Source organism: Homo sapiens, chromosome 12 (genome assembly GCF_000001405.40).
Source record: "Homo sapiens chromosome 12, GRCh38.p14 Primary Assembly".
Classification (NCBI taxonomy): domain Eukaryota; kingdom Metazoa; phylum Chordata; class Mammalia; order Primates; family Hominidae; genus Homo; species Homo sapiens.
Genome location: NC_000012.12, coordinates 131,065,990 through 131,086,176, shown reverse-complemented (window position 1 = coordinate 131,086,176; position 20,187 = coordinate 131,065,990). Strand labels below are relative to the sequence as shown.

At 50.9% G+C, this 20,187-nt stretch overlaps 1 protein-coding gene and 1 long non-coding RNA gene across 17 annotated transcripts in view, besides 1 other annotated feature; one reads left to right on the top strand and one right to left on the bottom strand.

The window, feature by feature from the left end:
- ADGRD1 (adhesion G protein-coupled receptor D1) overlaps positions 1-20,187 on the bottom strand; it is a 187,563-nt gene that overhangs the window by 55,293 nt on the left and 112,083 nt on the right. For all 16 annotated transcript variants that reach the window (NM_001330497.2, XM_011538204.2, XM_011538206.2 and 13 more), the window contains 2 exons: positions 9,303-9,376; positions 1,514-1,637 (listed from right to left, as the gene is read on the bottom strand). In NM_001330497.2, the coding sequence (NP_001317426.1) occupies positions 1,514-1,637; positions 9,303-9,376 (198 nt within the window). The remainder of the gene's footprint in view (positions 1-1,513; positions 1,638-9,302; positions 9,377-20,187) is intronic.
- LOC107984452 (uncharacterized) lies at positions 11,942-12,540 on the top strand. The gene is made up of 2 exons (XR_001749406.2): positions 11,942-12,052; positions 12,438-12,540. It is a non-coding gene; the product is annotated as an uncharacterized LOC107984452 (long non-coding RNA).
- Positions 14,360-14,861: an enhancer, noted in NCBI's record as "H3K4me1 hESC enhancer chr12:131555861-131556362 (GRCh37/hg19 assembly coordinates)". NCBI's record gives its function as "activates a minimal SCP1, AML or CMV promoter by ChIP-STARR-seq in naive H9 embryonic stem cells {active_cell/tissue: H9 hESC(naive)}" and the evidence as "EXISTENCE:reporter gene assay evidence [ECO:0000049][PMID:30033119]".

Sequence of the window (20,187 nt, the reverse complement as noted above, 5' to 3'; positions counted from 1 at the left end):
GCAGACACTGCGGACGCTGGTGGATTCAGGTAGATTCTGCCTGTCCACAGCCTTGATAAATGTGACCACAGAGGCAGGCAGTGACCCAGGCAGGGACGGGTGTTCAAGCCCTGGTGACAAAGTGCCTGCTGGGAACCACCTGAGCTTGGTGCCCCCTCCCGGGAGCTGCTGTGATCAGAGACATCCTGACTCCTCCCAAAGCCACCCTGAAGAGCCCTAGACTGGGGACGAGCCTCCAGAAGTCAGTGGCCACGATGAGCACATGAGGCTCTAAAAGACCAGGGCTCCGCACGGAAGATGAGTCTCGTGACAAATCTGTCCGGGAGACGCTGGAGGCGTCACTGCTTCCCTGCCTGACTTACCCTCCAGCCTGGCCCTCTCTCAGGCCCCAAAATGCCCAACACCAGCCACAGGTTACAGCCCAGCATCCAACAGATCGCCGTTTCCCAACACATCTGCCAAACCCAGCCTGGCTCGGAGCAGCCACATCTATGCTGTCCAAACCAGCCCTTCTGTGAGCGCAACCGACAGACGTGAGTGTGGGTGTGCAGTGTGCAGTGTCAGCAGCAACACCTCCTTCCACTCCTGGTTTCCACCTACATGAGCGTCTACGTGCCCCACCCCAAACCCAGGGTAGCTCAGACCAAGCTGCTCCCAGGCACAGCTCTCCAAAGGCTTCGTATGCATCTAGAATGAAACTCACGCTCCTCCCTGAGGCCTGGATGCTGGAGCCGAGCCTGCTCCTCCCTGCCTCCCGCCTCCCCAGGGCCTTGGAGCTCAGGGTGCTCCATCCACGGCCATGCCAAGCCCCTTCCTGCCCCTTGTCCTGTGCACTTGCTGTTTCCTGGCCTAGAACATTCTGCCCCCAGGCCTTCAAGACATCAGCTTCCTCTGGCCATTCAGACGCCACATCCCGGAGACACCTCTCCTCACCGCTCCGTGAAGACGCCCCGCTCCCCGCTGTCTCCTCACCACTCCGTGAACACAGCCTCGTTCCCTGAGGTCATCTTCTACTGGGCTGTTCTCTTCCACTTTCTTCCTCCACTGATTCAAAGTGACTAATTTATCTGCTGGTTTGTTTATTATCTGTCTTTCCCACTAGAACACAAACTCCTCAAGAGCAGGACTGTGTTGTTTTTCTTGTTTACAGCGGAGCCCCCAGCGCCCGGCTCCCAGCAGGCGCCCAGTGAGAATCTGCCAGAGGGACAGATGGAGGGATGAGGGGTCCCTCCTTGGATCCCCCCAGGTGCAGTCTGGGCGTTGCTGTGCGAAGCACACCACACTGGACTCGATTTACACAATCATGGGCTCCTCGGATATTTGCTGGCACCCAATACATGCAGGACCCTGGACTACAGAAGCCAAGAGAATGGATTCCGTCTGTAAACACAGGCCCCATGGAGTAATGTGCCCAGGGCCCGTGGGCACTGGCGGGCAAAGCATCCTCCCGCCCCCACCTGCAGCCTCATGGTACGTCCCCCAGGTCCCGCGACCCCTGAGGCCTGGCTCTTACCTCCAGCGGGACCACCTGCATGAGGATGGCAAAGTTGGTGAGGTGAGTGCAGCGGCAGACGGAGTAGGTGAGGTTTCCTCTCGTGAGCGCACAGCCGTGGTTCGACCAGACCCCTTCTCCGGAGCTGAGGACACAGGAGAAAGGATCAGAGGAGGTAGCACCGCACCCTTGGCAGGCAGGGGACTGAGAGCAGCACCCCCCATAACACATGGCCCCGTGAACTCATGGCGGCGCCCACACCTGCCACGCCAGGAATGCACACCCAGACCGTGGTGTGGGGGTTGGGAGGAGAGATTCTGGCCATCAGGCTGGCGAGAGCTGGAGAGTGTCTGCTGCTGGTCAGGCCACAGGAAGCAAGGCCCTCCCTCTGGGACAGGGAAGGGGGAGCTGCTTCGCACAATCACCCTGAAAAGCACCTGGACCAAGCCCAGCACAAAATGAAACGCACATGGCCCACAGCCCTGCGCCTAGAGAACGGGCAGCGGCACACGCCAGGGACCACATTCAAGCCCAGTCACTGAATCATGAGTGACGGTAACATAAATGCCCATCGGGGGAAACGGGTGAGTGCAGTGTGGGAGAGAGAAATATGATAAAAGACCTCGCATCGGTTAAAAAGAACATCCTTGACCAATGTGCACTGATAAGGATAAAATACCAAAACACAACGTACAGTGACTAACCACGACGCAAGGCCCGTGGAGCCAACAGCACCACACACTTCCCACGAACACAGCTATGACCGGCACAGAGACTACAGAGAAAACGCTCACACAGAAACTCCCCACGGTGTTACCGCCAGAGACAGGGTGGCGAGATCAGGATGAGACGTAAAGGTCTAAGGAGACCCTTGCTTTTTTATGTTTTACTTTTTACGTGAATAACGTGTGGATATATTACTTGCGTAACTTTATAAAATATAAAGCCAGACAAAAATGACTGGAAGCAAACGTGCTCTCGGTTAACTGTGGTTAAACCTGTTGGTGTGAATATTGGTGAATATCATTTTCTTCTCTACATTTCTCTATATTTTCTTTTTTGTTTGTTTGTTTGCTTTGAGACAGGGTCTCAATCTGTTTCGCAGGCTGGAGTACAGTGGTGTGATCATAGCTCACTGCAGTCTTGACCTCCTGCGCTCACGTGATCCTCCCACCTCAGCCTCCCAAGTAGCTGGGACTACAGGTGCATGCCACTGTGCCCAATTAATACTTTTCTTTTTATTTTTGTAGAGATATAGTCTTGCTATGTTGCTCTGGCTGGTCTCAAACTCCTGGGCTAAAACAACCTTCCTGCCTCAGCCTCCCAAAGTACTAGGATTATAGGCGTGAGCCACTGTACCCTGTCTTCTATATTTTCAAATTAAAAAAAAAAAAAGATTTAAATGGTTCTTCCCTGAAGTTGGAACCTCAAGTTATCAGTAAAGACAAATCCTTACTTCAGCCAAAGGCAATGGCCCTTGGGGGAAAGCATTCATAAAGGCGAATAAATTAAAAGGCTCTAGTTTGTATTTGCTTTGAATTCACTTTCAACTGCGGTGTCAGCATGGATGTGGCAGATGAGAACTGTGGCTGTCCGATGGCATGACCGATGAAGACCCCAGCTTGTACCTCTCTGGCCAATGTCTACCAGATGGAACACGCACCAGCAGCCTCGGGCAACGGTAACCCTGCGTTAGCCCTGGGCGACGTGGAGCGCGAGGGAGGGGTTGGGACGGTCTTTCCGACATGACCCAGGGGTGGCTCTGAGTTTGAGGATGGAGACTCAGACAGCAGTTCAGTGGTGATTTTCATGATTAATGATCTGCTCTTCTAGGGGAGGGAGAAGGCATTTAGCAGAGAGCAGAGGACAAAGCGAGAGCCACTCAGACGTACCAACTGAGAGGAGCAAAACCCCATTAATAACTTCAGAATTGATGGGACTTAAAGACAGGGTCATGTCCTCCTCCTCTCCCTCCCCACCCCTTTTGATCTAATTTTCCCAGGACCTTGGAGGGAGTCAGCAAAAACCAGCTGTTGTGTTATATATTGCGCCTTTGTCTGTCAATTGGCTGCATAAGTACCATACTTCAATTTGAGGGGGGGGCCTGAACATTAACAGGCATTGGATTAGGTGAACGTAGCCACGGGTATGAGCTGCCCCTTCTGCTTACACAAAGGGTAAGCTAAACAATATGAAAGTCACATCGCTCAGATGGAGCTGCAAAGGTGTGACGATGACCTAGTTAGCCAGAGGAGTAGAGCCTTCAGTGGCATCAATGAAGATCTACTTCCCAGGGACTCAGCGAAAACAAAGAGGCAGGCTTGCAGCTTGTGCATAAATAAATCTGCTATGGAAGCCAGATGAAGCAGTATCAATAGCATTAAAGATATGTACGGCCCTATGACCCAGGAAGTCTGCATCTAAACAGAAAAATGTTCAGTCATGCATACATAAAATGTAACATGCATAAATACGGTAAAAAACATGTGTGTCCACACAGGCAAAACACAGAAACAAAAGGTGGAGGAAGGATGGAAGACACATTGAATTAAGCAACACCATATATTTCCTATGATTATAAATATAAATTATATATAAATTATTGAAAAAACACATAAAAAACCCTCCCACCGTGGTTATTACTGGGGAAAGGGGTGGAGATCAGGATAAGAGGTAAAGATCAAAGGGAACACTTGCTTTTCTATAATGTTTTACTTTTGAACAAAATAATATATTGATATATTACTTGTATAATTTCTTAAAGTATCAGTCTAGAAAAAAAGTGGCCCAGAATTCTAAGCCCAATGAAAATCTTTCAAGACTAAAAGAGAATACTTTTTCAAATGGTAACTGAATCTATTGCCAGTGGACCAGAACTGCAAGAAGAGTTAAAGGAGTATGATACTAGACAAAAATCTACACAAAGAAATAGAACAGCTGGAAGTGGAATAAGTGAAGGTAAACAGGCAATTATTATTGTCTTAATTTTAATTGCTCTAGAAGATAACTCATTATCCGGGGGAAAAAATACTAGCAATGCATTGCGTTTATGGTGTCTGTACAAAGGTGAAATGTACTACAACAACAGCACACAGAACGGGCAGGAGGAAGTGTGAACCTATTGTTACAATGTCTTAGAATATATTTGGAATGATATCATAGTACTTGAAGGCAGGCATGAATGAATTAGACATATATACACTGTAAGCTTAGGTCAACCACTATCAAAAAAGTTAAAAGGATGTATACATTAGAAATCATTTATAGTAGAGATAAAATAGCATCATAAAAGATATCCAACAATCCAAATGAAGTCAGAAAAAGACAACATTTTAAAAAGATAGAAAAGTTAGAAGACATCTAGCAAAATGGTAGATTTTAATCCAGCCACACCAATGATTACATGAAATATAAATTGTCTAAACATGTCAATTAAAAACAGAAATTTTAGGACTGGATTAAAGAAAAGACACGACCCAGCTACATGCAGTCTAAAAGAAACTCACTTTAAATATAAATATATAAATAAGATAAAAGTTAAATTATGGGAAAAGATACAGCACTCAAACACTAATCAACAAAGCTAGAGTAGTTTTATCTAAATTAAACTAAGTAGACTTCAAAGTAACGCATATTTCCCAGGGTAAAGAGGGACATTATGTAATGATAAAAGGGCTAATCTTCCAAGAAGACATAACAATCCTAAACATACATGCACCTAATAACAGAACTTCAAAATTCATTAAAGAAAAATTCATAAAACTAGGCCGGGTGCAGTGGCTCACGCCTGTAATCCCAGCACTTTGGGAGGCCGAGGCGGGCGGATCACGAGGTCAGGAGATCGAGACCATCCTGGCTAACACGGTGAAACCCCGTCTCTACTAAAAATACAAAAAATTAGCCGGGCGTGGTGGCGGGCGCCTGTAGTCCCAGCTACTCGGGAGGCTGAGGCAGGAGAACGGCGTGAACCTGGGAGGCGGAGCTTGCAGTGAGCCGAGACCATGCCACTGCACTCCAGCCTGGGTTACAGAGCGAGACTCTGTCTCAAAAAACATAAAAAAAAGAATAAAACTAGAAGTAGACATAGGTAAATCCACCACTAAAATTGGAGAATTCACACTCCTCTCTCTTTAATTGACAGAACAAGTTGACAGAAAAGTAGTAGTAAGAATATAGAAGACATAATCTTAACTATCAATCGACTTGGTGTAATTGACATTTATAGAACACTCCACCAAGAATATACTTTTTTTCAAGTGCACATGGGACTTTCATCAAAGACTGAACATATATGGGGGTGTCATAAAAACTTTTAACAAATTTAAAAGAACTAAAATTATACAAAGAATATTTTCTGATCATAAAAAAACTATTTACAAATCAACAGCAGAAAGCTCTCTGGAAAATTCCCAACTATTTGGAATTAAACTACACACTTCAAAATAACACATAGGTTGAAGAGGTTGAAGAGGAAGTCACAAGGAAAATTAGAAAATATTTTAAATTTAATCAAAATAAAAACATATCAAAATGTGTGCAATGCAGCTAGATCAGTGCTCACAGAAAAAATATAGCATTAAATGTTTATATTAGAAAATAATAAAGCTTCATAGTAATAACCTAAACCTACATTTTAAGAACTTTTAAAATGAAGAGCAAATTAAACTCAAAGAAAGCTGAAGGAAGTAAATTAAAGACAAAGAGGATAAGCCAATGAAATTGACAACAGAAACACAAGAGAGAAAAATCAATGAAGCCAAAAGTTATATCTTTGGAAAAATATCAATAAAATTAATAAACCTATAGTAAGAGTGACTCAGAAAAAAGAAGACACAGATTATAGATAAAAAAGTGAAATGGGAACATCACCACAGACCCTTCAGGCATGAAAAAGGCTAACAACGGAATACCACAAAAAACTCTGTGCCTATAAATTAAACAACTTTGATGAAATTGATGAATATTTCAAAAAAACATAAACTGCTTGAACTTATTTAAAAAGAAGTAGACGACCTACATAGTCCTGCATCCATAAAAGAAACTGAATGTGTAGTTGAAAACCTGCCAACATTGAAAATGAAGGCTCAGGTGACTTCATGGTGAATTCTACTAAAATGGAAGAAATAATATCAATTCTATACAGACTATTCCAAAGTGCATCCCAAAATGTAACTTTTATAAAGGTATCATTACCTCGATATAAAAACAAAGACATTACCAAAAAAAGAAAACTGCAGACCAATATCCAACATGCACGTAGACACAAAAATTCTCAACAACTGTAGCCAATTAGATTTAGCAGTATACAAAAAGATAATACATCATGACCAAGTGTGGTTTACCCCACAAAAGCAAAGCTGGTGAAACTTCCAGCTTTAATCATAATGATCCCACTCTGAAAACTACCCAAATGTTCCTCTACTCGGGAGAAGATAAATAAACTACGGTACATCCATGTAACGGAATACCCCCTCAGCAGTGAAATGTGAAAACAAGATGTTGATATATCCAACAATACATGTGTGGTGACGCTCAACACACTATGCAAAATTAAAGAGGCTAGACTCCAAAAGGCTTCCTGCGCCATGATTCCATCTATGCACACTCTGGCAGAAGCAAAACTATATAGGAACAGAAGACAAATCGGTGCTTGCAGGAGCCGGACGTGAGAGGAAGGGATGACTGCAAACAGACACGGGGGCATCTTGGAGGGTGATGGATTGTTCTAATCCTGATTACGGTGGTTGCACAACTGTATTCATTTGTCAAAACTCACAGAACTGTACAATCATCTACAAGTGTGGATTTTTCTGAATATCAATTATATAATAATAAGTAATAATTGCACAATGGACAGGAAGGATACAGATACTATATTCATGATGGTGGCTGCCTCTAGGAATTGAGGGAAAAGAACAGAAGGAGGTGGAGGGTTCGTTAACATCATCTGTGATGTTTTAGTTGTTTCATTCTTAAAAATACAAAAATATAAACATGCTAATAACTATAAATTTGGGGCAATGGGTACCTGCATTTGTTATATTATTCTCCGTACTTTTCTATGTTCTTAAAATTCCTTCAAAAATAAGAATCAACATGCCAATTTAGTTCTTACCAAATCCCATCCCGTTTTCTAGTCATAATTTTTTTCTCCAAACAGTGCCCCGGAATTGGAATAACTATTTCTAGGAGCACATGCTTCCAAATTTTCACAATTTACAAATAAAGGAAAAAGAGCTGCAACCTGCTGAGCCTGACCAGGGCAAAATCACTGAAATTACAGAGCATCAATCCACATTGCAGAGGCATGACGCCAACGGTCATAGCCAGACGCCGACGGCCATAGCCAGAGTGAGGCATCCCGGGGGTCAAAAATGTAAGCAGTGTTTGCTGGAGGTGACAGGAGCTGGGCTGCACTTTCCTCGCTGTTCACAGAACAGAGATAAAGGGAGATTATGCCGACCTGCTGCTGCACCCCCAGCTCAGCGTCTTGCAATCTCCTGGCCCTCTGGGTGCAGGGAGCAGAGACGCTTTCTCTGACGGGGACCATACCAGCAGAGGTGGCACAGCCTGTGTGGATCCTGCCCTGAAGCAGCAGGAGGAGGGAGCTGGGGAAGTGAGTCCAGGCACAGGAAGATGCCCAGGTGTTGGGGAGCCCTGACAACATGCAGGGTGATGGGCCACTAGGCAGGGTGTGAACTGGATGTCCCAGATGTGTTCCAGCTGCCTGTGCAGTGTTTTAAACATTGGGACAGTTCATATAATAATCTAGCCATAGCCAGGCACAGTGACTCACACCTGTAGTCCCAGGACTTTGAGAGGCACTTTGAGAGGCGGAAGGATTGCTTGAGCCCAGGAGTTTCAGACTACATTGAGCTAAGATCACACCACTGCACTCCAGCCTGGGTGACAGAGTGAGACCCTGTCTCAAAAAAACAAAAACAAAAACAATATCCAGCCATGAAAACTGATGACCTGGCAACACAGGACCTGCAACCTGCATCCCACATGGAACAAGCCCCAGGGGCCACAGCTGAGCAGCAGCTGAGGATCCGGAGGCCCCACCCCTCCCTCCACTCCCCGGCCCTGCGGGGAGCTGAGTTTTCAACACCGCTGTGACTGTGGGAGCCATTCACGGTGGGCTCACGTCTAGAGGAGAATTGTGATCACAGCGATGGTGGGAGATCCCCCAGACATTGGGCAGGTGAGCCGTGGAGGCGAGCTGGGGCAGGGGCTAGGAGGGCGGGAGGAGACTGCATGTGACAGGTGTGACAAGTGGACATGGGAGATGCTGGGGAGGACGTCCCAGTCAGGGCCCAAGTGGCAGAGGCTGAGGCCTCAGAGTTTTAGGCAGGCCTGATGGTCAGCCTGCTCCAGTGGAGCCGGCAAGGTTTCAAACAGGAAAATGCCAACGTGGCTAGTCAGAAGCCACTCCCCCAACCCCCTTCCTCAGCTGCTCCAAGACCCTCGAGGGGGACAGCCAGGGCTGTAGGGCCTGCTCCAACGGACAGCATCCTCCAGCTCCCCCGAGCATCTGCTGCACTGGCTTGAAAGTTGCCCTGGGCATTCAGAGGCTTTGTCCAGACACATCGTGCAACAGCAGGCCCCTCCTCGCATGGTCTGGAGGGGAGGCCTCCACCCAGCACTGCCACCAGGCCCTGCCCACATCTCCAGCATTTCCAGCATTTTCGCATAACGCAACCATGTCAGCTGCAGAAATGGGTGACCCAGATCCTCCCCTGGGCTGGCATGGGGCGGGCCTGGGCTTGGACACCTCATGCCCACCTGCTCTCCCCTGTGCAGAGGGTACCTGAAGTCCAGGAAGGCGCAGTACACGAAGACTCGGTTGCTGCTGTTGGTGGCCTCACTGTGCTGCTTACGTGTCTGAAATGAAAGAAAGCAAACACGATGCATGACGCTGCTGAAGAGGCCCCTGGTTCTCAGCACTGATGTGAGAGCGAGACCCTTACAGCTGGGCGACCTCAGGTAGGGACAGGCATAGCCACTGATGTCTATCTCCATCCATTGTGGGTGTGGTCCCACATCACCTGGCCCAGGTCATGCTGCCCTCTGCTCTGCCCTCCCCAACCCACCCAAGGGCCCTGGCAGGTGCCGGGCCCTCCCTCTAGGACACTCCTCCTCCTAGGACGTGCCTCCCCATAGGGTGCTCCCCACCAGGCAGCCACAGGCTCCCTCCCCACTCCCCACCAGGTAGCCACAGGCTCTTCCCCACTCCCTACCAGGCCTCTGCAGGAGGAGCTCCTCAGAGAGACCTTCCCTTCCCTACCTGTTCTAAACAGCACCGGCACCCTGCCCACTCTAGCTCCATTCCACTCACTGATGTTTTCATAGTCTTGATCACCATGTGGCATATTACATATCCACTGTCCACTGTGTGTGTTTGCTACCTTCCCCTCTACAATATCCACTACAGAAAGGATAGAGCTTCTGTCTCATTCACGGCTGCATCCCCAGGACCTAGAGGGCATCTGGCATACAGCAGGTGCTTACTAAATATCTGTTCAATGAATGAACAAAAGAATCAGTGAACAGGTCCATGAGACCACCTTGTTCCGGAGACTGGCGTTCTCTCCTGGGCTGCTCCTGGGTGCCAGCTCGGAGGACTCTGCAGCTATGCTCTACCCTAAATGAAAGGCACAGACACCTTCAGGAGCCATAGTTGGAGGCTCAGGAGGCCAGCGACTCCACCAGGACCCAGGGCTGCTCAGAGGTGGCATGGCTCCGGGATAAATGGTGTCTGATGGATTCCCAGTCAGTCAAGTCAAGCATCTCTTATTTGTCCGATGCCTGCTCTGTTCTGTGACCCATTCCTGAGCCATCATTGCTCCAATGAGACCCTTCCCCCATTTCAGGGTGACCAGCCCTCAGGAAGGCACTGACTTGTGCAGGACAGAGCCACGAGGGCAGCCCCCCTCATGAGCGCCATCCTGGCCTCGACCAAAAGCCCCTCCTTTCCCAGGAAGCAGCAGCTCTGGTGCCCCTGACAGGCACCTCGGACCCCACTGCAGAACCAAAGGACTCACAGGGCTATCATCGCAGCATCTGTCTGACAGCTCCTCCAGCCTCAACCCAATTATCCTAGTGCTGTCTACTACTAATGTTTTGGCAAAATGGAACGTTTACTCTTTTTGCTTTGTCCCCCACCCCTGCCGCCCCGTATCTTAGGGTTATTTTAATCCATCACAGGGTCTCTTAAAACCGCCTGGAAAAGACATCTTCTCCTCTGTCTTCCCAAAGCCACAGCCTGCTGTGAACTCTTGCACAGACAACAGAGGGCCCTGTGTCCTGCAGCCACCAGGACCACAGAGGGGCATCAGCAGGAAAACTGCAGCACCAACCTCACATAATAGAAAAGATGAACAAAAACCTGGTGGCCACAGCCTGGTTCTCGGAGGGGTGTAATGAGGCTTCCTTGGGCCCAGGCTACACCAGGGCCAAAGCCTCCAGCAGACAGCGTTATATGTAATTTTTTAACAAGGAGGCGTATTTGTGTGTTACCTGAGTAATTTAAAGGAAATTTAAAAAATAAGTCGGTGACCTGGGGAAGCCAGCAGCCAGACCCATACACATCAACACGTGGCAAGGCTTCTCAGGAGTGAGGCGACGCCTCTTCCCATCACCCCCTCACCCAGTGCCAGCCCCCGCCTCTGCCCCACGTGTGGAAGCGCAGTCCCAAGGGAGCAGAGAAGAGGCTGCTGTGGCCTCTGGAAGTCCTGACACTCTGACTTCAGATCTAAATCACTCTTCAAAGGAAATGTAGAAAACAGCCACCACCGCAACAAGCCAAGCATGTGTGTGGTCGGAGGGTGGGGAAGGCAGCTAGCTTCCTCTTGGATCTGGAGCCAAGATCACGCCCTGAAACGGGGAAACTCCCTCCCCTCCATCGTCAGAGGTTCCATCACAGCCTCCACTCCTGGGATGAGAAAAGCAAATTGACTCTTCATGTGTGTGGAGTTCCCCACTGACTGGGAACAAATGCTCTCAGCAAGTCTCCAGAAAAGGGGGCCTCCCGGGCTCCCAGGGGTGTGACGTGGGGTGGGTGTGTTTTTGATATGGGAGTGTGGTGGTGCCAGAATGTAAGTCATCTGCATACAGGCCCCATCTCATGCAGAAATGTGGGAGGTGCTCACAGCCCACGAGCCTCCCTGAGGCCTGGGTGAGGCACAGAAGCCAGTTCAGTTCGTCACCAGGTGGCTGGGGAATGGGAATGAGGCGCTCCCTCCCTGTGGAGTCTTCAACAGTGTTGGGGGACAGCCGCATTCACCTGAGCGTCCTCCTGAAACCTCAAGCCAGGGGCTGCTGAGCTCTGCTGGACAGAAGTGAAGGCCTCCTCACAGGGCCGGCTCCATGGCAAGTAACCTAATTTCCCACTAGACACACTTCACTTGGGTATGTCTAATGGGGAGTGCCTGTGAGCCCTCAGGAATATCTCCCACAGGATCTGAGATGTGCTCCAACAACCATCATGATCTTTCCAGTCAGGGAGAAGCAAACGGGATTAACCAACTGCTTGTTTATTGCCTACTGTTCATGAGCAAGGTACACCAAAGTGTCTCCTTCTAGGAGATACATGCAGAGAGAAGAAAAAAATTTGATACTCATGATAGCCTGTTAATGCCCCTTGTTTAGAAATGTGCTGGCTTTTATGTAAGTATTGCTAGGGTTTGACTGTGTCCCCCAAAAGCTCATGTGTTGGAACCTTAATTCCCAACGCAGCAGTGTTGGGAGATGGGGCCTTTAAGTGGCAACTGGGTCATGAGGGCTGAGCCCTCAGGAATGGATTAATGTCACTGTTATGGGAGTAAGTTAGTTCTTGCAGGAGTGAATTTGTTCTCATGAAATTAGGTTGATACAAAAAGCAAGCTCGACTCGCTCTTGCAGTCTCTTTCACTCACACTGGCTTTCCTTTCCCTTTTCCACCAAGAGGTGAAGCAGCACAAGGTGTTCACCAGACACGGCTGCCCGAGCTTGGACTTCACAGCCTCCAGAACTGCGAGCCAAAATAAACTTCTTTCCTTTATAAATTACCCAGTCTCAGATATTCTATTATAACAACAGAAAATGGACTAGGTGTACAGTTTTACCTGTAAATAATTTGGGGAGCTACGTGTCCAACATTGTCCCAAGCAAAAGAGAGATGGCACCATGGTCCTTAAATTTGATGGTAAGTAAAGCAATATAAGGAGCCGAAATACTGACCCCAGAGCAGTGGGTCAGGTGCAGGTGGATCTCAGTGGAACATCTGGGGCAGCCCTCTGTGCCACCCTCTTCTCCAGCCCATCTCACAACTAAACAGGGTTCAGGGCTTTGAATGCTTGAAATGTCCCACCTTTAGGGAAATCAAGGATAACAGAAGTAATGGGAGAGATACGACAAGGAAAAACCTTGAACCAGCCTCTATCTCTTGGTGCTTTCTGAGGTTTCTTGCTTTCAAAGAGTCATAAGACAGTCCAGCATGGATGAGGCAGCCACAGCCTGATAGAGGCTAAGACAGGACTTTCAGAACCTGGTTCCAGCACAGGAAGAAAAAGGTGGGAGGTGGGCAGGACCCTGAATGAGGCATTTCAGGACAGGTTGATGAGCTGGGCCACCCCAGTGCTGAGAAGGAAAGGTTAGGCCAGGTGAGACCCTGGGACAGATGGCCCAGTAGAGCAGGGGCACATGGTGGGGATTTACTACTCTGCCTTCACCCCACTAGTGCCATCTGCATGTGGGCCTGTCTGGTTAAGTCACTCTCCCCAGTGCTGGCTCCTGGGCAGAGGTGAGCAGTGCCTTGGGGCGCCAAGGATACCCACAGATGCTGCTCAGACCCTTAGGACATCCCACTCAGCCCAGGCTGCTTCAGAAACCAGAGGCATCCTTCTTCCAACATGTGATCAATCCATCTGAGGACAACAGCAGAGGCCCTGGAACATGACACCCCCAAGTCTTCCCTCTCCAGGCCTCCCAGGCCCATGAGCCTGCAGAGATCTCTTTGGCATTAAGGCAGCTTGAAGGGGTCTGTCCTTTCAATGGAATAAGTCCTGACCACAGAATGCAGGCGCCACCCCCCACACACATGGTGCTGACATGTGCACGTCCTTATTTTGAGATCATGGGGCCAGATCTCAATCCTAGAGAGCAGCCTCCCCAACCTCACAACCTACTGCTTCCCTCTTCAAAGGCAACTGAGCACAGCCAAGAAACACCAGGCAGAGGGGTAGACTTGTGCAGACAAGCACAGCCCATGGCCACCTGGGACGCACCAGGGTCAGAGAGACCCACCGATGCCCCCTACTTCAGAAGACCCCAGGAAACATGGTTTTTGCCAAAGACCAAGAAGCTTCAGTTTGCTGTCTGTTCATCGTCAAGGTGGGATGCTGGTCTGGTAAGAGACCCACCATCCAGTGTGAACTGGACTCTAAACTGTGTCCCTCCCTCCAAGGTCCCCAAGTCCCTGTCTCCTCTGCGAAACCTCAGGAGTCCCGTTTGAGAAGAAAGGGGCCCGCAGACACCTGATTCTCACGCTCGGTTTGTGCACAGGTGCCAGCCTGCAAGCCGGAGAGGCATGCAGAGAGGAAACTGCATTGCTGTTTCAAAACCCAAAGAAAAGAAAGTACTCTGAATTGCGTGGGGATCTGGAGTTAGGGCAGCTTGCCCCGAAACTGAACAGAAAGTGTTTTCACATCACCCCCTCGCCCCAGGTAGCACCCAGTCACGCGGCTCTCAGTGGAAAGCGCGGCACACGAAGCCAGGCCGGGACCCACAGCCCAGGTTCTGCATTTGGCATTTAGCAGCTGCGATGTCTCCGAGAACCCTGCAGAGACGGAGCCCACAGAGGAGGGTACAGCGTGGACCAGAAGCCACCAGAAGCCGGGCGAGGCGGCTGAGTTCAGTGCTGTCAGCCAGAGGCTGGGGAGGGAGCACCCTGGTGCCCGCATCCCTGGTGAGCCTTGAACCCGGCATCCGGGTCTCCACTCTCTCCTTCCTCGGGCCTCCTGGACACATAGGACCCGCCAGTGCGTGCACAAGTTGCCCTCTGTGGCCCAGCAGCACTGGGGTCACCTGCACTGTGGCCATGGTATGTGTGGAGAGGTTCCATCCTTGGGAAAGAGGTCCTGAGTGTCCTGGGAGCCAGGAGGAAGAATCTCCAGAGACAAACCAGAGAATTAACCACAGGGACCCCGCCCCCTTAACTCCACCCCACTCACATTACCCTTCCCACTCACATGACACCTTCCCACTCACATGGCTCCTCTTCTCCCAGTGGCCTCGCCCCACTCACTTAGCCCCACCTTCCTTGCACATGGCTCCACCTCCTTTCACTTAGCCCCACCTCCTTGTACATGGCTCCACCTCCTTTCACTTAGCCCCACCTCCTTGCACATGGCTCCACCTCCTTTCACTTAGCCCCACCTCCTTGTACATGGCTCCACCTCCTTTCGCTTAGCCCCACCTCCTTGCACATGGCTCCACCTCCTTTCGCTTAGCCCCACCCTCCTTGCACATGGCTCTACCTCCTTTCACTTAGCCCCACCTCCTTGCACATGGCTCCACCTCCTTTCACTTAGCCCCACCTCCTTGTACATGGCTCCACCTCCTTTCACTTAGCCCCACCTCCTTGCACATGGCTCCACCTCCTTTCACTTAGCCCCACCTCCTTGTACATGGCCCCACCCTCTATCAAGTGGCTCCAGCCTCTCTTACATTCCCCTGATGGTGCAGCCCACAGCCCCTTCTCAGGCCCACTCTGACCCCAGGACTCTTCTCCACCATCCTGGATGGCAGACTCACCCGACTCTCCAGGACGTCCCGTGCAGACACTCCATGACCACATGGGCAGGGCACTAGAGGCCAGCCAACCTATAAGGACACAGCCTGAAGTCACATGTACTCCACAGTCCAATCAGCTAAGGCTGTGGGTGGGGCCAGGAAGGTTCCGCCCAGGATAGTGCTGTGGGTGGAGCCTTGCAGTGATGGACACGCCCTCATCTCCGTGGCAACCAGCTTTCCTCCCACCTCTGCTCACTGCGCACCTGGCTCTCCTCTCACCTGGATGACGCAGCAGCCTCCACTCGTCTCCCGCACCGAGTCCCCGCAGAGCAGCAGGTCAACTTCTAAAGCGCGTCTCAGACCGCCTCTCCCTACAGAAGCCCCAGGGGCTCCCAGCCTCCGAGTACAACACAAACTCCTACCCACCTGCAAAGCCGGCGCCTCGTTTTCCTCCTGAGCTGCGGTCACGAGACCCTCCCACTTCAGAAAACAAAAACGCTGTCGCTGCCCTTCGTCTCTGTCTGTATAAGCGGACTCAGCACCAGGGGGTATTTGCGGGGGCTGCGGAGCTGCCTGGAGACCCCCGCCCAGCCACAGAAGGCTCTGGAAGGAGGCGGCCTCTGCTGAGGGCCTGGTTTTGCGGTCATCCCCTAGAATGCTGGAGTCTCGCCTCATACAGGTCGCGAGCCCGTGGTCACCCCACTCGGGTGTGACAGGTCCCCCAACGCTAAGCAGAGATGTGGCCCAGAAGGGCTCCAAGGACCCAAGGGGTGCCCAGGGAGGCTCTTCCCAGAGGGAGCATTTTCTCTCTGGGACAGGATGTTCATGCTCAGGACAGACCTGCACACGGACAGGCCTTTGCTTGTGGCTTCATCTCCGTGGGAATAGGAACCTCCACATCGGATCGTCGTGGATGAGTGACACTGAATTTTCTCAGGCCCATGTTATTGGAAAGCAAGGGACTTTGGCATTTCTATCGCAACAAGGCGACCTGTATTCTTTCATACATGCAATAATAATTAACACGTTTTAAATAATTTTCACTCATTAGGCTACTCAAAACGTTTTTATACAGTTGTCTCATTAGGGCTTATTTTTGGCCTGCCCTTTTTGTGCCGAATACAAAAATGATATAATAATACCATATAAGATATTTTCTAAGACCTTGGATTTTGTCTTGTTTTCATGACTTCACTCTGATACATTGTGCTCCCCTTATCCTTCCAATAAACTACCTTTCTGCTCAGGAGAACCAGAGTCAGCGTCTGTTGCTGGCATCCAGACATCTCTAACACCCCCTCACAGGCTGCTAGAAGCCTCCACTGAGATCATGTGTGTGAGCCCCTTGATGGTTCCTAATGATGGCAATAGTTAACCTTTTCCACGGACCTGCCCTGCGCCTGGTCCTGCTCTGTTTTACATGAGTGAAGTCATTCAATTGCTCAGCCCTTGCCAGCTGCGCACACTCTTGCCCCACTTTACAAATGAAGCCACGAAGCCACATGGTGGTTGGAGGACTCACGGCAAGTGACGGAGCTGGGAAGGGGCCAATTCAGGACTCAGGTCAAGACATCCTGGTTCCAGAGCCCCACCGTGACCCACCATGTTACTCAGCACAGGTGAGTTACACTGATCTTTATCTGTCTTTTCATGCCCTGGAGATGGAATTTTCCTAGAATAGCCACTGGCTCCCCCGCCTGGTACATCATGGACTCGTAGTGCATGGCCCTGCCCTCAGATGCCTGTGACGTCAGAGATGGAGGATGGGCCTGCTGGGCTCTGTCAGCTCCAGGAGCCTCAGGGTCGGGGGGACGATCCACAGGAATCCACGAGCCTCCCAGAACATGGAAGGCCATGGCCCCAGAGCATCCAAATTCCATCTAATGGCATCTTTCAGGAGTAAAGAAAGAGGCAGAACAGAAAATCCATATAGCTGCTGTGCTCGGAATGAACACGTTTACCTGCCGAAGGGCACTACTGCCTAATCTCAGTGCTGCAGTCAGTCCAGAAAAGCAATACCTATAAACGTCTATAAAAGTGTTACAGCTTTTCAATTTGGCTCCTGGGCCATGGCTACTTGAAATCTCAGCTAGAATTTAAAGGTTGTTTCTTTTTTTCTTCCCTTTGTTCTTCTTGTCATGAAGTTGGCCAAATGGTTTCCATCAAAAGATCCAATCCATTCATTATCCTTTTATTTATTTTGTTATAGCTGGCCTCTACCCAAGAAGAATTTTGGATGACTTACAGAAACAAGGGGAAAGCATTGCTAATGCCAGAGTGTCTTTAAACTTTCAGGAGAAGCAGATATGCTGTGGTTTTTCGCATGAGAATAGTCAGGGGTTCATAGAGGCCTGTATGTGGAATCATGTCAAAATCAGTGCGGAGTCAAACAGCCTCAGCCACCTGGACCCTCCTCACGTTGGAAAAGTCATCATGGTACCAAGGCCTGGAGTGGCCAAGCTCATCCCACTCCACGCCTTCCCTCCCCGCCCCTCTGTCTGGTGGGGAAGATGAACATTCTTTCATTCCTAGTAGAATATCTGAGATTCTGGTCTGTCTAATGTTGGGCCAGAGGCAGAGAAAAAAACCCAAATGCCCAGAGTTGACCATTCCAGCGCCACCCATGAGACACAAGCGTGCATCATCAAACCCAGCAACACGGGTTTCCAGAACAGAGCAGGCTGAGGTGTGCAGCCACTCAGCCCCACTCGGCCCCAGACCTCTGCCTGTCCGGGATTCCAAGTTTCCATGGGGTTCTGGAACCAGCCCCTGGTCCCCATGGTGACCGATCTGGTGGCCTCAGGAAAGTGGCTGAGGTCTTTAGAGCTTGGTGGGACTTCTCTGAAATCTCCCTCCAGAAGGATCAGGGGCACAGCGATCAGACATACAGGAGGCAGAGGGCAGCCCCTGCTCAGAAGAAGGATCAGGGGCACAGCGATCAGACATACAGGAGGCAGAGGGCAGCCCCTGCTCAGAAGAAGGATCAGGGGCACAGCGATCAGACATACAGGAGGCAGAGGGCAGCCCCTGCTCAGAAGAAGGATCAGGGGCACAGCGATCAGACATACAGGAGGCAGAGGGCAGCCCCTGCTCAGAAGAAGGATCAGGGGCACAGCGATCAGACATACAGAAGGTAGAGGGCAGCCCCTGCTCAGAAGAAGGATCAGGGGCACAGCGATCAGAAATACAGGAGGCAGAGGGCAGCCCCTGCTCAGAAGAAGGATCAGGGGCACAGCGATCAGACATATAGGAGGCAGAGGGCAGCCCCTGCTCAGAAGAAGGATCAGGGGCACAGCGATCAGACATATAGGAGGCAGAAGAAGGATCAGGGGCACAGCGATCAGACATATAGGAGGCAGAGGGCAGCCCCTGCTCAGAAGAAGGATCAGGGGCACAGCGATCAGACATATAGGAGGCAGAGGGCAGCCCCTGCTCAGAAGCCAGGTCTGGAGGAGGCCCAGAGAGGCCTGACAGAGCCAGGCACACCTCCTCCAGGGCCTGGGCTGACCCTGATGACGCCTGACCAGTATTCTTTCTCCAGTTCTTTCTCACTAACAGAAGCAGTTTTTTGCTCGGGGTGGCAACGTGCCCAGCTAGACAACTGCAAAATCTGCATCTCCGTCCTCCATTCTAGCTCCAGCTCTACCACCACCAATGCAGCTTCCCCACCTGGGCGTCCACAGGCCTCCCAAACGGAGCATGTCCAAACCTCCCTCCTGACCTCACTCCCAGCCCTGGACTGTCCCAGAGTCATGCCCTTGTCAGTTAGTGGCCACTCTGTCCTTCAACTTTTTGAGCCCCCAAATCCTTGACCCTGTCAGCAAGCCCCCCATAGCAGACCTGAAGCTAACATCCTCCACTCCTATCCTGAGCCTGGCGGCAGCCCCGTCTACCTGCTCACCCTGCCCTGTACAGGGTTTGTGAAAGCCCAAGTCCATCGCTTCGTCCCTCTGCTCAGACCCTCCGGGGGCACCCACCTTACTCAGGGGAAAGCCGAGGCCCTTAAAGTTGCCCCCGGGCCCGGAAAGATCTGCCCGTAGCCCCTGACCTGCCTCCTCCAGCCCCTCGGCCTCCTGGCCGCTCCTCAGACTTGAAGGTGTGCCCCCGCCGCCAGCCAGGTGTGTGATGCCTCTCCCCCGATGCCCCACGATCCCCCCATCCACGTGGCCACTCCTCAGGGCAGCCTCCTGCCAGCAGGCCTCCCACGTGCTGCTCCTTGGGATCTGATCTTGCATGTACCTGTCACTGCCTGTCTGTCTGCCTGCTTGTCACCTCCCCAGGTCCCCAGCACTGGGATGTGAGAGTCACAGGGCAGGATTCGGTCTGTCTGGCTCTGTCCTCTCCCTCACAGCCTGAACGGGGGCAGGCATGCAGGGGCACTCCGTGAACTTCGGTGGGATGAACCCACACAAGGTGGCCTGCGGTAGGGAGGGTACAGGGGGCCGAGGACAATGGCCCAGCCAGGCATCCCTGCTGGGAGTGAACGGACAGGGCCACCGCCCCACAGCCTGGAAGGTGCTGACAGGCCACCCGAGCCCTAAACATCCTGATGGAGTCACCCCTCGGAGTGAGCAGCAGGTGCAGATGCGTCGGCGGGAAACCCTAGGGAACCAAAGCCTGCGGTGCTTGCAGACGTGAGATCACATCCTCCGCCCTCCCCGTGGCAGAGGATGAGCGGCCAGGATTATTGTTTTCTAAAAATATTCAAATCTTGTAGCGGTCACAATCCTATTGTGGCTCCTATGACTGCTGGAGTCAGGGTTTATTTCTTTACTGCCTGCTCATGAGTCTGGAGTTGCCCCACAAATTTGCTTCCAGTTTGGCTCAAATGGACTAAGGGCCCCTGGCCCGGCCCTGGGGCTCTAAGGTTTAACCTCAGCCTCACCCCTGCCAGAGTTCACCACAGAGACATCAGGTGTCCC